The sequence below is a fragment of the Homo sapiens genome, chromosome 17 (assembly GCF_000001405.40).
Source record: "Homo sapiens chromosome 17, GRCh38.p14 Primary Assembly".
Taxonomy (NCBI): Eukaryota; Metazoa; Chordata; class Mammalia; order Primates; family Hominidae; genus Homo; species Homo sapiens.
Genome location: NC_000017.11, coordinates 30,711,137 through 30,725,372, shown reverse-complemented (window position 1 = coordinate 30,725,372; position 14,236 = coordinate 30,711,137). Strand labels below are relative to the sequence as shown.

General features: G+C 54.4%; 1 pseudogene across 4 annotated transcripts in view, besides 1 other annotated feature; it reads right to left on the bottom strand.

The window, feature by feature from the left end:
- SUZ12P1 (SUZ12 pseudogene 1) overlaps positions 1–14,236 on the bottom strand; it is an 83,223-nt pseudogene that overhangs the window by 67,458 nt on the left and 1,529 nt on the right. The window lies entirely within an intron of this gene.
- Positions 5,978–6,027: an enhancer, noted in NCBI's record as "active region_12001". NCBI's record gives its function as "activates an Ori minimal core promoter by ATAC-STARR-seq in GM12878 lymphoblastoid cells {active_cell/tissue: GM12878}" and the evidence as "EXISTENCE:reporter gene assay evidence [ECO:0000049][PMID:35858748]".

The following is a 14,236-nucleotide window of genomic DNA, read 5'->3' as shown; positions in this document are numbered from 1 at the left end:
TGAGGTCACGCACTATCTGTCTTTCTGTGTCTGGCTTATTTCACTTAGCATAATGTCCTCCAGGTTCATCCATTCCAGAGGGGTGTTTTAAAAGACAATCTTGGCCGGGCCAGTAGCTCACACCTGTAATCCCAGCACTTTGGGAGGCCGAGGAGGGCAGATCACCTGAGGTCAAGAGTTCAAGACCAGCCGGCCGGGCGCGGTGGCTCACGCCTGTAATCCCAGCACTTTGGGAGGCAGAGGCGGGCGGATCATGAGGTCAGGAGATCGAGACCATCCTGGCTAACACAGTGAAACCCCGCCTCTACTAAAAATACAAAAAATTAGCCGGGCGTGGTGGCGGGCGCCTGTAGTCCCAGCTACTCGGGAGGCTGAGGCAGGAGAATGGCGTGAACCCAGGAGGCGGAGCTTGCAGTGAGCCGAGATCACGCCACTGCACTCCAGCCTGGGCAACAGGGCGAGACTCCGTCTCAAAAAAAAAAAAAGAAAAAAAAAAAAAGAGTTCAAGACCAGCCTGGCCAATATGGTGAAACCCCATCTCTATTAAAGATACAAAAATTAGCCAGGTGTGATGGTGGGGACCTGTAATCTCAGCTACTCGGAAGGCTGAGGTAGGAGAATTGCTTGAACCTGGGAGGCAGAGGTTGCGGTGAGCCAAGATCACGCCACCGACTCTAGCCTGGCCGACAGAGCAAGACTCCGTCTCAAAACAAAAACAAAAACAAAAGACAATGTTGAGTGGTGGGTCTTCTGCTTTAACCCCTCCAACACCTCTGACTCCCGCCTTGTCTCCCTCCAGCCATGCGGGTTCCCACCCTGCAGCCTCAGCCTGTCCCCATCTGTGTCCCTCAGACTCAGAGGTGTCCTCCCCAGAGACGCAGACATGGGCCTCCGCCACCCTGTATCACAGTGCCCTGCAGTCACCACCTGCCTGTGCATCCCTTGCCATGCTGTGACCTCTTGTGTCTCTGTTTTCTTCTTGGTAAAACGGGGATACCTCAGAGGGCAGCTGTGCAACAGGACAAATTCACACACATGAGACACTCGGGATGCTCCTGGCACATAGACAGGGTGAAGCATCCCTTGTCCCCATTGTCACCTTCTCCATTAGCTCGGGCTGCCATAACAAAGTACCACAGACTGCGCGGCTTACACAGCAGAAATTTACTTCCTCCTAGTTCTGGAGGCCAGAAGGCCAAGATCAAGGTGCCAGCGAATTCAGTTTCTGTGGAAATTCTCTTCCGCCTTCTCACTATAACCTCACAGGGCCTCTTCTCTAGACATGCATAAAGGGAGACAGATCCCTGCTGTCTCTTTTTTTTTTTTTTTTTTTTCTCTGAGACAAGGTCTGTCTCTCTTGCTCAGGCTGGAGTGCAGTGGCACAATCCCGGCTCATTGCAGTCTCAACCTCCCAGGCTCATGCGATCCTCCCGCCTCAGCCTCCTGAGTAGCTGGGGCTACAGGTGCGTGCTCCTGTGCCCAGCTACTTTTTTGATTTTTTTTGTAGAGATGGGGTCTCACTATGTTGCCCAGGCTGGTCTTGAGCTCCTGGCCTCAAGCGATCCTCCTGCCTTGGCCTCCCAAAGTGCTGGGATTACAGGCATGAGCCACAAGCCCCGGCCTCTCTCTTCTTATTGGGATACCAGTCCTCTCAGAGTAGGGGGCCCCACCCTTAAGATCTCATTTAACCTTAATTACCTCCCTCAAGGGCCTACCTCCAAAAACACTCACGCTGGGAGTCAGGGCTTCAACCTCTGCATTTGGGAGGGAGGTGGGAAGATACAATTTAGTCCATAACCTCATCCATCCCATCCCTGCTCTATACTTTTACTTGACCACTCCTAGAGTTCCTTTATTTTATTTTATTTATTTATGTTTTGAGATGGAGACTCACTCTGTCGCTCAGGCTGGAGTGCAGTGGTACGATCTCGGCTCACTGCACCCTCCACCTTCCAGGTTCAAGCAATTCTCCTGCCTCAGCCTCCTGAGTAGCTAGGATTACAGTCACACGCCACCAAGCCTGCCTAATTTTTGTATTTTTAGTAGAGACGACGTTTTGCTCTACTAACAATGTTGGTCAGGCTGGTCTTGAACTCCCAAACTCAGGTGATCTGCCTGCCTTGATCTCCCAAAGTGTTGGGATTACAGGCGTGAGCCACTGCTCCCGGCCTTTTCTTTGTTTTGTTTTGAGACGGAGTCTTGCTCTGTCGCCCAGGCTGGAATGCATTGGCGTGATCTTGGCTCACCGCAACCTCTGCCTCAAGTGATTCAAGAACCTCGAGTGATTCTCCTGCCTCAGCCTCCTGAGTAGCTGAGATTACAGTCACAGGCCACCACACCTGGCTAATTTTTGTATTTTTAGTAGAGAAAGGGTTTTGCCATATTGGTCAGGCTGCTCTCGAACTCCCAACCTCAGGTGATCCACCCGCCTCAGCCTCCCAAAGTGCTGAGATTACAGGCATGAGCCACCGCACCCAGCCTTCTAGATTTTCTTTCTACTCCCAGGAGAATGGAAACTCCTGAGGCTGGAACTTGGTTTCCCTGACTCCTGTCTCCTGGTCCCCTGAACACACAGTGGGTCCCCAAGCAAAAACTTACTTAGTCACAGGGGAGTGACTAAGGATGGCAGTGAGGATAGCTGGAGATGGGGCATCTGCCCTGTGACCTGGCGGGCCACGCCTGACCCCCACAGGCAGGGTGCCATTGCCTTAGGGGTACAGACAGAGTTCCCCAGGAGCACGACGCCCTCTCCCCAGCGTGGCTCCCCTAGGAAGCTCCAGACACCCCCAGGGCCCAGCCTCAGCTTGGCAGGTGGTGGGTGTCCCCTGGGAGACCCAGGCCTGACCATCCCTGAGGCCTCTGGAGGGGGAGGTGTTACGGATTGAATTACAGCCCCCGACCCCCACCGCCAAAGAAAAAAAAAATGTCAGGCTGGGCACAGTGCACAGTGGCTCACACCTACAACCCCAGTACTTTGGGAGGCCAAGGTGGGAGGACCACTTGAGCCTTGGAGTTTGAGACCAGCATGAGCAACATAGTGAGACCCCATCTCTACAAAAAACACAAAAATTAACCGAGCACGGTGGCACGTGCCAGCTACTGGGAAGGCTGAGGTGGGAGGGTTGCTTGAACCCAGGAGGTTGAGGCTGCAGTGAGCTCTGATTGCACCACCGCACTCTAGCCTGGGCAAGAGAGTGGGACCCCATGTCAAAAATACAAAAGATATGTTGAAGTCCCAACTCCTGATAACTCAAATGTGACTGTGTTGGGAACATCTGGAGTCCTTACAGAGATAATCAAGTTAAAATGAGGTCATTAGTGTGGGTCCTAATCCAACAACTGATGCCCTTATACAAAGGAGAAACCTGGACACAGACATGCACAGAAGACCATGTGACCATGAAGGCAGAGATCAGAGTGATGCTTCTAGAAGCCAGGGAAGATTGCCAGTTAATGACCAAAAGAAGCCAGGAGACAGGCCTGCAATGGATTCTCCCTGAAGGCTCCCAGAAGGAACCAACCCTGACGACACCTTGATCTTGGACTTCCAACCTCCAGAGCTGGGAGGCGACACAATTCTGTTGTTGGCTGCAGTGGCTCACGCCTGTAATCCCAGCACTTTGGGAGGCCAAGGCGGGAGAATTGCTTGAGCCCAAGAGTTTGAGACGAGCCTGGGCAACACAGTGAGACCCCAGCTCTATAAACAAATATAAAAAAGTAGCTGGGCATGACGGGATGCACCTGTAGTCCCAGCTGCTCAGGAGGCTGAAGTGGGAGGATCACTTGAGCCCGGGAGGTTGAGGCTGCAGTGACCTGTGATCGCACCACTACACTTCAGCCTGGGCAATAGAGCAAGACCCCATCTCTGAAACATAAACAAAAAAACCAATAAAGTCTCTGTTGCTAAAGCTGTCCCGTCTGTGGTAATTTGTTGTGGGAGCCTAGGAAATTCATATAGGGAGTCAGGACACACAGAGAGTGAGGAGGGAGGCAGAGATGGGGGCAAGGGCCTGAGCCGCAGAACTTTAAAGAAACCATTTACAGGAAACAGCAAACGACAGGGAGGGCATCTAGCTGGGCTCTCCAGCAAGGAATCACCTGAGATGCCTGGGACAGTGGCGGACACCTCCAAGTCCCAGCCCGAACAGCTTCCATGTGTAGCTCATGTAATCCTAATAACCATTTAGGAAGGAGAGATGCTTGTACCCACAGCTTACAGAGGAGGAAAGTGAGGTCCTGTCATTGAAGAGATATACCCAGGGACACCCAACTGGTAAGGGGGCTTGAACCCAGGGAGGGCTGGCTCCCCAGGTTGGGCTTGATGAGCTGTGGGGGTATCCTGGGGGGCCAGAAGAGCCCCCACCCCCGGGCCCACACTGTATTTGAGTGTCTATGCAACCTCAGAGCTGGTCACGCCTGGACGTTCTACATCTGGGAAGCCAGGTGAGCCCACACCTGTGTCTGTCCCCCGCTTGCACCTCAGTAGTCTCCAGTCACCTTATTTGTCTTTCTTTTTTCTTTCCTTCTTTCTTCTCTTTCTCTTTTTTTTTTTTTTTCCTTTGAGACAGTAGGATCTTGCTCTGTTGCCCAGGCTGGAGTGCAATGGTGCACTCTCAGCTCACTGCAGCCTCATCCTCCCAGGCTCAAGTGATCCTCCCAGCTCAGCCTCCTGAGTAGCTGGGACTACAGGCACACAAACCCCCGCCTGGCTAATTTTTGTGTTTTTTGTAGAGATGAGGTTTCACCATGTTGCCCAGGCTGGTCTTGAATTCCTGGGCTCAAGCAATCCTCCCGCCTCAGCCTCTCAAAATGCTGGGATTACAGGTGTACCCAGGAATCCATTGCACCCAGCCATAGGTGACCCTATTTCACCCATGGGAAACGGGGCTGCACACCTGCCTGTATGTTCGCATCTAAGCCCTACGTCTGTCTCAAGTCAAGGGTCGGTGCGGCAGGGTGGGCCACTAAGGCCTAGACTCTGTCCTCGGGTGCCCTGGGATGGAGATGGGGAGAGCGACAGGAGGAGAAGTGGCTGCTGGGGGAGAGGGGGCGCCTCTAGCCTGCCCTAGCCTGCAGTTGCCATGGCAACCCTCTGCGCGCTTGAGGGGGTGGGAGTCTGAGTGCCTTGGGTGGGGTGGCGGGGAACCAAGGTGGGGATCTGGGATCTGAGCCCCCTTCATGGTCTTCTCCCTTCTTGGCAGCAGCCGGCCCCTCCACACACAGCCCTCTGGCTGCATCTCCTGCCTCCTGCCCACTCCCCAAACCCAGCCGCCCATGAGCCCACCTCCTCCAGGAAGCCCTCAGGCATCCGGCAGGTCCATAAGGAAGCTGCAGGCCCCGGGGTGACTATGAAGGACCAGCTGAGAGTCGAAGCTCCTGAATTTCAATCTGCTGTGTAGCTTCAGAGCAAGCACTTGGCCTCTCTGAACCTATTTCCCCATTGCTGCTCAGGGACTAACAGACCTACCTCGCAGAGACAGAGCACGTGCCCAGAGAGGGCCCAGGTACATGGTCCTTGGGCAGGGCAGGGTTGTCGCGGCATCTCCAGTCCCTGCCCCATCCTCCAGCTCAGCGGATGGCAGCCCAGTCCCTCCAGGTGCTCAGGAACCGGACAGTCATCCTGGATCCCTCTCCCCTCACATCACATCCAGCCCCGTCAGGTCCTGTGGCTACTCCTTCAGAGCCCACTCACCTCTCGCCACTCCTCAGCTTCTCTGGTCCAGCCCCATCATCTCCTGGCTGGACCCCACTTCCCCACCTCACTGTCTACACCTCGTCTCCCCATCTATCTGCCACCCCTGTCCCATCCAATCTCTACCCCGAGGTGAGAACAATCTTTGCAAAATGAAACTGTCTACAGTATGTTTCCCCCATGGCCACCAGAGGGCGCTTGTGAGCATCTAAGTCAGCTGCTTCCCTCCTCTGCTCAGAACCCTCCGTGGCTCCCACCTCACTCGACCAAAAGCCAAAGTCTGTATCATACAAAGGCTCTGCACTGGGCCGGATGTGGCGGCGCACACCTGTAATCCCAGCACTTCGGGAGGCTGAAGCGGGCTGATTGCTTGGGCTCAGAAGTTCCAGACCAGCCTGGGCAACATAGTGAAACCCTGTCTCTACCAAAAATACAAAAAGTTAGCCAGGCATGGTGGCACACGCCTGTGGTCCCAGCTCCTCGGGAGGCTTAGGTGGGAGGATCTCTTGAGCCCGGGTGGTGGAGGTTGCAGCGAGCTGAGATTATGCCACTGCACTCTAGCTTGGGCAACAGAGCAAGACCCCATCTCAAAAACAAAAAACAAACAGGCCCTGTACAATGTGAAACACCAGGCACTGTTCTGCCTTAGGGCCTCTTCACGGGCTGTTTCTCTCTTCTCCAGATCCCCTCACAGCTCCTCCTGCATCTTCCTTTTGGTCGTTCCTCAAACATCACTAGCTCGGCAAGGTCCTGCTGGCCCCCGCACTCCTACGCCGTGTCCTGACTTGATTTCTCCATACCTATCACCAGCACGCCATGCGTTTTATTTGCTTATGAACTCTCTGCTACTAGATGCTGGCTCTGCAGGGTGGGGTTTGCATACTACACTCAGCACAGTGCCTGGCACAAGCAGGAAGCTGAAATATAATTGTTCAATGAAGAACCTTTTAAAGGTCACCCTGGAGCTGGGTACAGTGGCTCATACCTGTAATCCTAGCACTTTGGGAGACCAATGCAGAATTGCTTGTGGCCAGGAGTTTGAGACCAGCCTGGGCAACACAGTGAGATCCTCTCTCTACAAAAATTTAAAAATTAGCCAGGCATGGTGGCACACACCTGTGGTCCTGGCTACTTGGGAGGCTGAGGCAGCAGGGTCATTCAAGCCCAAAAAGTCAAGGCTGCAGTGAGCTATGATCATGCCACTGCACTCCAGCCTGGGTGACAAAACAAGACTCCGTCTCTAAATAAAATAAAGGTCACCCCAGCCACCAAGCAGCACTAGACTGCAGAGCGGTAGGGGTCGTTCAAAAAATTCCCTGCACCCCCCCGACACCTTCTCCTTCGTCTCCCCATCTATCTGCTACCCCTGTCCCATCCAGTCTCTACCCTGAGGCCAGAATGATCTTTGCAAAATGGAAATCCAATTACACCCCTCCCTGCCTACAACCCTCCATGGCTCCCTATTGCCTGTGATGCTCTAACATGGCATCTCAGGCCCTGCTGTCCTGCCACCTTCCCATCACTTCTACTCAGCGTCTGTCTCTCTCTCACACACAGTTCCTTATTCTGCTCTCCCTCCAAAGGGCTCTGCCCAGAGGACGGCATTCGTATCTCTCATATCCACTCTCACAGAACACAGGGCCTCTGTGTTTTGCTCCCCTAACTGGACTTGGACTCAGCTGTTTAATGTCTGTCTTCTCCACCATCGAGGGACTCTGAGGGCAAAGTACCATTGCGGGTTGGGCTGGCTCTTGTTGCATACCCAGCCCTGGGCAAGGAGTGGATGCTTGTTCATTTGTTTAATGAATGAAGATGAAATAGACCCAAAAAGCAGATCATCTATTCAGTGGATGTTTACCGAGTTCCCAACTGGTCACAAGTGCAATGGAGGAAGGTGTGCCTGAGAGGGGGTATACGTGTAGGTGCAACTGTAGACAGGGTGGCCAGGAAATACCTCCCCTAAAAAGTGACATTTTGGCAGAGGTCTTGAGGAGGTGAGCCATCTAGGTACCTGTGGAAAGAGCATTCTGGGCAGAGGGAACAGCACGTGCAAAGGTCCTGGGGTAGGAATGTGCTGAGATGTGGCTGGGGCCTTGCAAGCAAGGGAAGAGTGGAAGGAGGTGAGGGCAGCTGGGGAGGGGGGTCACAGAGGCCATGCAGGGCCTTGTGGACCTCAAGGAGGACTTTGGCTTTCTAGAGAGGTGGGAGCCATTGGGAATCCTGAACAAAGGAGGGATGGGATCTGGCTCGGGTGTTCACAGGTGTCCTCTGGCCACAGAGATGGAGATCAGACTGTGTGTGGGGAGGGTTGCTGGGAGTGGAGGGTACTCCCTACCCCACCTGTCCCTTGCCTTTTGTCCACAGGGCTGTCAAAGCCAGAAACCTGAAGCTTCCACCAAGTGCTGGCTGCTTCTGGCCCTCACCTTGCTGGTTGCCTCCTGGCCTCCCTTCTGGCCTCCTGGCCTCCCTTCCTGCCAACTATGGCTCTCTCCCATGTAGCAGCTAGAGGGAGCTCATGCTAAACATTCTCACCCTGACATCTGGATCCTGACATAAACCCCCTACCTCTACCCCCATCCCTGCCACAGGCCCTGGCAGCCCCACGGACAAACCAAACAGACTCACAGTCACAAGGCCAGCCAGCAGCCTCCAGCTTCTCTCCATGTGCAGTTGTGAAACATCTCTCCTTCCTCCCCTTTGAGCCACCACCTTCTGTCTGACCTCAGGGCAGCCCCTCTCTCTCACAGATGCTCTTTCCCCTCCGCCATACCCCTCCTCCCACTCCAGGTTGCAGCTGGGAAGCCCCCGCCTCCGGGAAGCCTTCCCTGACTTGCACCTCTGCTGTGCTCACCATCATGGCAGGTCCTGTGGCCTGTGGCCTGTGGTCTGTTTCCACTCCAAAGTGTTCACTGTCCAGCCCCAAGCTTTGCACTCCGAGCTCAGCAGAGCAGAGCTGAAGAGTTCTAGAAGCTAGGGCCCGAGCAGAGGGCACAGAGGCGGGATCCCCCTGCCTCATCAGATGCCGGCAGTTAAGGGGCAGGGTGAGACCAGGAGACGGGGGCATGGTGCCTAGCAGGGCAGGAGAGAAGAGGCCCCGGGCATAGCGCCCTTAAGTTGCAGGTTCAAATCCAGGCTGTGCGCCGTCATGTCGGCACGACAGGACACCCACATCACTCCTCTCAATTCTGTCTCTCCACGGGGGAGCTGGGGAACGATAGCATCCCAGGGTGGCTGTGGGGGTTAGAAATAATTTTTGGCAATTCCACACATCTTTTTTGGAGCATCTTCTATGTGCCAGACACTGAGGGGCTGGGTACAAAAAAGTCGACTCTGTAGCGTACCAGTGTTGTGAAAGAAGATAAAGCCAGGAAAAGTGGCTATGAGTGTGTGTGGGTTTGGGAGTGTTTTTTTTTTTTTAATCGTATTTTTAAAGACAGGGTCTCGCTCTGTTGCCCAGGGTGGAGTGCAGTGGTGGGATCATGGCTCACCACAGCCTCTGAGCTCAAGGGATCCTCCTGCCTCGGCCTCCCAAGTAGCTGGGACCACAGGGCGTGTGCCATCGTGCCCAGCTAATTTTTAATTTTTTTGTAGAAATGGGGGCCTCGTTATGTTTCCCAGGCTGGTCTCGAACTCAAGCAATCCTCCCACCTCATCCTCCCAAAGTGCTGGGATTACAGGCATGAGCTACTATGCCCGGCTGTTGCAATTTTATTTTCTTTTATTTATTTATTTATTTGAGACAGAGTCTTGCTCTGTCATCCAGGCTGGAGTGCAATGGCATGATCTTGGCTCACTGCAACCTCTGCCTCCCAGGTTCAAGCGATTCTCCTGACTCAGCCTCCTGATTAGCTGGGACTACAGGCACCCACCACCACGCCCAGCTAATTTTTGTATTTTTAGTAGAGACAGGGTTTCACCATGTTGGTCAGGCTGGTCTCGAACTCCTGATCTCAGGTGATCCACCCACCTCGGCCTTCCAAAGTGCTGGGATTACAGGCATGAGCCACTGTGCCCGGCTGTTGCAATTTTCAACAGGATGATCAAGAAAGGTCATCTCCCCTGGAGAAGATGACATTTTAGCAAACCTCTGTGAATTTGAGGGAGGAGCACGCAGGTGATCAGTTCAGGAGAGTTAGAAGAGCGTCCTAGGCAGGGTCACAGCCCGTGCAAAGGCCCTGGGGCTGGACTGTGCCTGTATGTTTGAATAACGGTGGCAGCTGCATCGAGGAAGCGGGTCGTGAGCTGGTGAGGAGAGTGGGAGGAGGTGAGAGCAGGGAGGTGCCGGGAACAGACTGCGCGGGACTCGCCTTGTACTTTAAGCACACAACTGCTCCCCAAATGGGGCCGCCCCTCTGCCCAGCCTTCACTCCCAGAAGCCACTAGGGGGCGTTCTGGGGCAGGGTCGGCCAACCATGGCCAGGCCCCAGCCTGCTTTTGTACAGCTGGTGAGCTAAGAATGGTGTTTACATTTTTAAAGGACTGAAGAGAAGAGAAAAGAGAACAGGCCACAGAACCCGTCTGCGGCCCGCAAAGCTTGCAGGATTTACCATCGGGCTTTCTACAGGAAAGTCAGCCAACCTCTACTCTATTTTATTTATGTATATATTTTTTTGAGACAGGGTCTTGCTCTGTTGCCCAGGCTGGAATGCACTGGCGGGATCACAGCTCACTGCAGCCTTGACCTCCCAGCTCAAGTGATCCTCCTGCCTCAGCCTCCCGAGTAGCTGGGACGACAGGCGTGCAGCACCATGCCCAACGAATTTTTTAATTTTTTATTCTGTAAAGAAGGGGGTCTCGCTTTGTCGCCCAGGCTGGTCTTGAACTCCTGGACTCAAGTGATCCTCCTGCCTCAGCCTCCCAAAGTGCTAGGATTACAGGCGTGGGCCACCTTGCCCCACTGGCAACCTCTACTCTACAGCCATCACTGCCAACCCAGGACAATTCTGCCCCTGATCCCAGTATGTTTAGCAATGTCTGGAGACGTTCCGAGGTGTTACAACTGTGGGGCTGGAGGTGTCACTGACATCCATCGGGAAGAGGCTAGGGTGGCCTCTGAGCATCCTATAGTACAAAGGACAGCCTCCCACAGAGAATGATGCAGTGCCAAAGTCAGGAGTAATGGAAATCATCTGGGAAATCCTGTCTGAGAAAGCCAGCCCCGGACCCCTCACCTCCTCAAGGACAGGAAGGAGAATCCACCTGGCTTCCTGACCTGATCATTTGTGACCTGCAGGGTATTTTTAGCCTCTGAGGGAGGGGCACTGACTATTCTGAGGCTTTTTTTTTTTTTTTTGGCGGGGGGGCAAGGCTATTTTTGGCCTGGGCATCTATTTATTGAATTTTTATCTCCCCCCAAATTTTGGAACAGGAGACAGTGAAGGCAGGGGCCTTTTTTTTTTTTTTTTTTTTTTAAGAGTCAGGATCCTGCTTTGTCGCCCAGGCTGGAGTGCACTCGTGCAATCATAGCTCACTGCAGCCTCAAACTTCTGGGCTCAAGCGATCCTTCCACCTCAGCCTCCTGAGCAGCTGAGACTACAGGTGCATATTCACGATGCCCAACTATTAAAAAAATTTTTTAGAAACGAGTCTTGCTATGTTGCCCAGGCTGATCTCAAATTCTTGTCCTCGAGCAATCTTCCCACCTCGGCTTCCCAACATTCTGGGTTTACAGGTGTGAGTCACCACACCTGGGTCAGGTAAGACTTCTTGAACGCACACTGTGGGCCAGTGATGACTGCTGACACCTGGGATTCCCAAAGCAAAGCAAATCACAACATCCTCGCGCACTTGGATCCTCCTCACAGACACAGACAGTAAACAAACAAGCGCAGAACATCAGGAAATTACAGCCTATGTGAAAAGCCGTCTGCTGTACTGAACATCAGGAGGGGTGTGGGAAGCTGAGACTCTGCAGAAGGTGCCTGGGAGTAAACCTTACTGGGGAGGTGATATTTCAAGAGGGTGGGGGAGAAAAAGCCTCGCAAATATCTGGGGAAGGGTCCTAGATGGCAGAACAGCAGTGCAAACGCCCCGGGGTAGGATCACACTTAGCACACTGGAGGAGCAACGAGGAGGGAGGAGGTGGCCCAGAAAGACCATGAAGGGCCAGACCCCAGGACAGTCCAAGCCTGTGGGCTACTGCAGTCAGAATTTGGGGCTACCCTCGAAAAGGAGACACATGCCTTCTCCCCAACTCGCATGACAGGAGAGTTTTGCTTTTTTGTTTTGGGTTTTTTTTTTTGAGAATGAGTCTTGCTCTGTCGCCCACGCTGGAGTGCAGTGGCACAATCTCGGCTCGCTGCAACCTCCGCCTCCTGAATTCAAGCAATCCTCCTGCCTCAGCCTCCCTGGTAGCTGGGACTACAGGTGCACACCACCATGCCTGCCTAATTTCTGTACTTGTAGTAGAGATGGGGTTTCACCATGTTGGCCAGGCTGGTCTCAAGCTCCTGACCTCAGGTGATCCACCCACCTCAGCCTCCCAAAGTGCTGGGATTACAGGTATGAGCCACCACGCCCAGCTGATAGGAGAGCTTTGATGGAAACCCCATATGTGTTGCTAGAGTGTGAGCTCCATGAGGACAGGACGTGGCCACCAGCCCCCATGGCACCCCCCGCATGGTGCTGGGTGGGGAAGGCACTTGGCAAGTGTGTGCAGATTGCATGACAAGGTGCACCCAGCCTTGCTCCAAGAAATCCTGAGCACACAACTGCAGGTGCACAAAAGATGCAAACAGCTCCATGTGTGCACACAGACAACTACTCCTTCTTGCAGCCCTACCTCCCCCAGCATGACCACCCCCTCTGCAAAACACAAACACCAGCACACAAGGGACCCTTATGAACACCGGATGTGCCTGATGGTCACGTGGCCACATGCACCCTTGGCTAGATCACCATCCAGGCCACACAGGCAGAGGACACCTATGCACAGGTGGAGAGACAGACAGACATCTGGATTCTGGGGACACCGGGACCCCCTCCATGTTTCTACTTGGCCTCCCACCTCACTCCAGGACCCGTCTCTCCCCTTCCATCAGGGTGCCCAATAGCAACCACTTTGCCCCAAACCCAGCCTGGGAGGAGCTGTCTGTCTTGCCATGGCACCTTCAGGGTCACTGGGGTCAGGGTTTCAGACCCAGGGAACCCCCGCCTCGGGAGCCCCTCTCCCTGCCTCCCCACGGAGGGGCTGGAAGAAGGGGAAGTGTCTGGCATGTGGAAATCAGATCCGTGAGAGGAACCCACACAGAACCCAGAGCCTTGTGTGTCCCTGGCCACATGTCTCGCCAGGGAGGAAGGAGGGGGTGGAGGGCAAAGACGATGCTCCAGCGGGGATGGCAGTGCTCCCACTCCTCCTGTTCCTCTTGAGGGGCACCCGCTGCCACCCTCCCCACCGAGATGCCTGCAAGCATCACACAGCCTCACGTGCAGGTGGAGACGCCACCGGCCGGGGGCCCAAACTGCTGGATGCAAACACACTCCCGTGCAGCTGAGGCGCCTGTAGGCTCCTCCCCAACGTGCCCACAGGGTCCTACTAGGCCCCCCAGGAGAAAGGGCTCCCCTGGGCAGGCTGGGAATAGAAGCTGGGCTTCAAGTCCCCCCCTTCCACCCCCTCCCTGCAGGCTCCACAGCCCAGGTGTGCTGGTCCCCAGCTCTCCATCCTCCCCAACCCTGGGCGCCAGCTACACCCCCAAGAGCAGGAATCAGCGTGGGTGATCACGGGGTACGCAAGCTTCCCAGAAGTGGGGATTGAGATGGGCGCCCCTTGGAGAGAAAGAGGGCCTGCAGGGGTGTCCCAGGGCAGGTGCCACACACACATGGGGTGGACCGAGCAAGGCCATGAGGGAGGTCACCAAGCTGGGTAGGAAGATGGTGGCAAGACCAGCAAGAGGGCCGGGACCTACATGTGAGCGCACACGTATGTCGCACATGTATGTGGCTCCGTGCACGGGTGCGATCGCTGCCAGCCATGGAATTAGTTCCCTTTTCCGAATTCCAGATGATTTTTCATCTCTGTAATTAATGGGCAAGTCAGTTCTGAACGGCATGGCAGGCAAATTGCTAGTTAGGAAAATCACGGATAATTTTCTCGATATGATAATGAAGATTGTAAACCTTCTCTTATTCTCCCTGTTTTCATCCTACTTTTAAGTAATAAATTTGGCATTAATGGAAGGGGAGCAGGGAGGAAGGAGAAGTCACCTGCCCCCCAAAGCTGGGGCCTGACAGGGGCCCACGCAGAATCAATCCCCTGCCCCCGGGCCGTGGGGCAGACCGGAGAAGAGAATGAGGGGTGTGGACCCTCCGCGGGGTTGATCAATTCAGGGGGCCAGGCCCTGGAGAGCAGGTGGAGGGCAGGGAGCTTTCAGGCTGTGAGCCAGGGTGAAGGAGTGGGGTCTGGGGTCAGGTTAGGCACATGGCAGCCCTTGGGGTGTTGGAGAGAGAAGCAGAAACCAATGGTCTGTCCCCAAACAGCATGGAGGTCAACGGCCGGGAATATACATTCACCCTCAGGTGTGCCCCACTGGGTCCAACCTCCTCTAA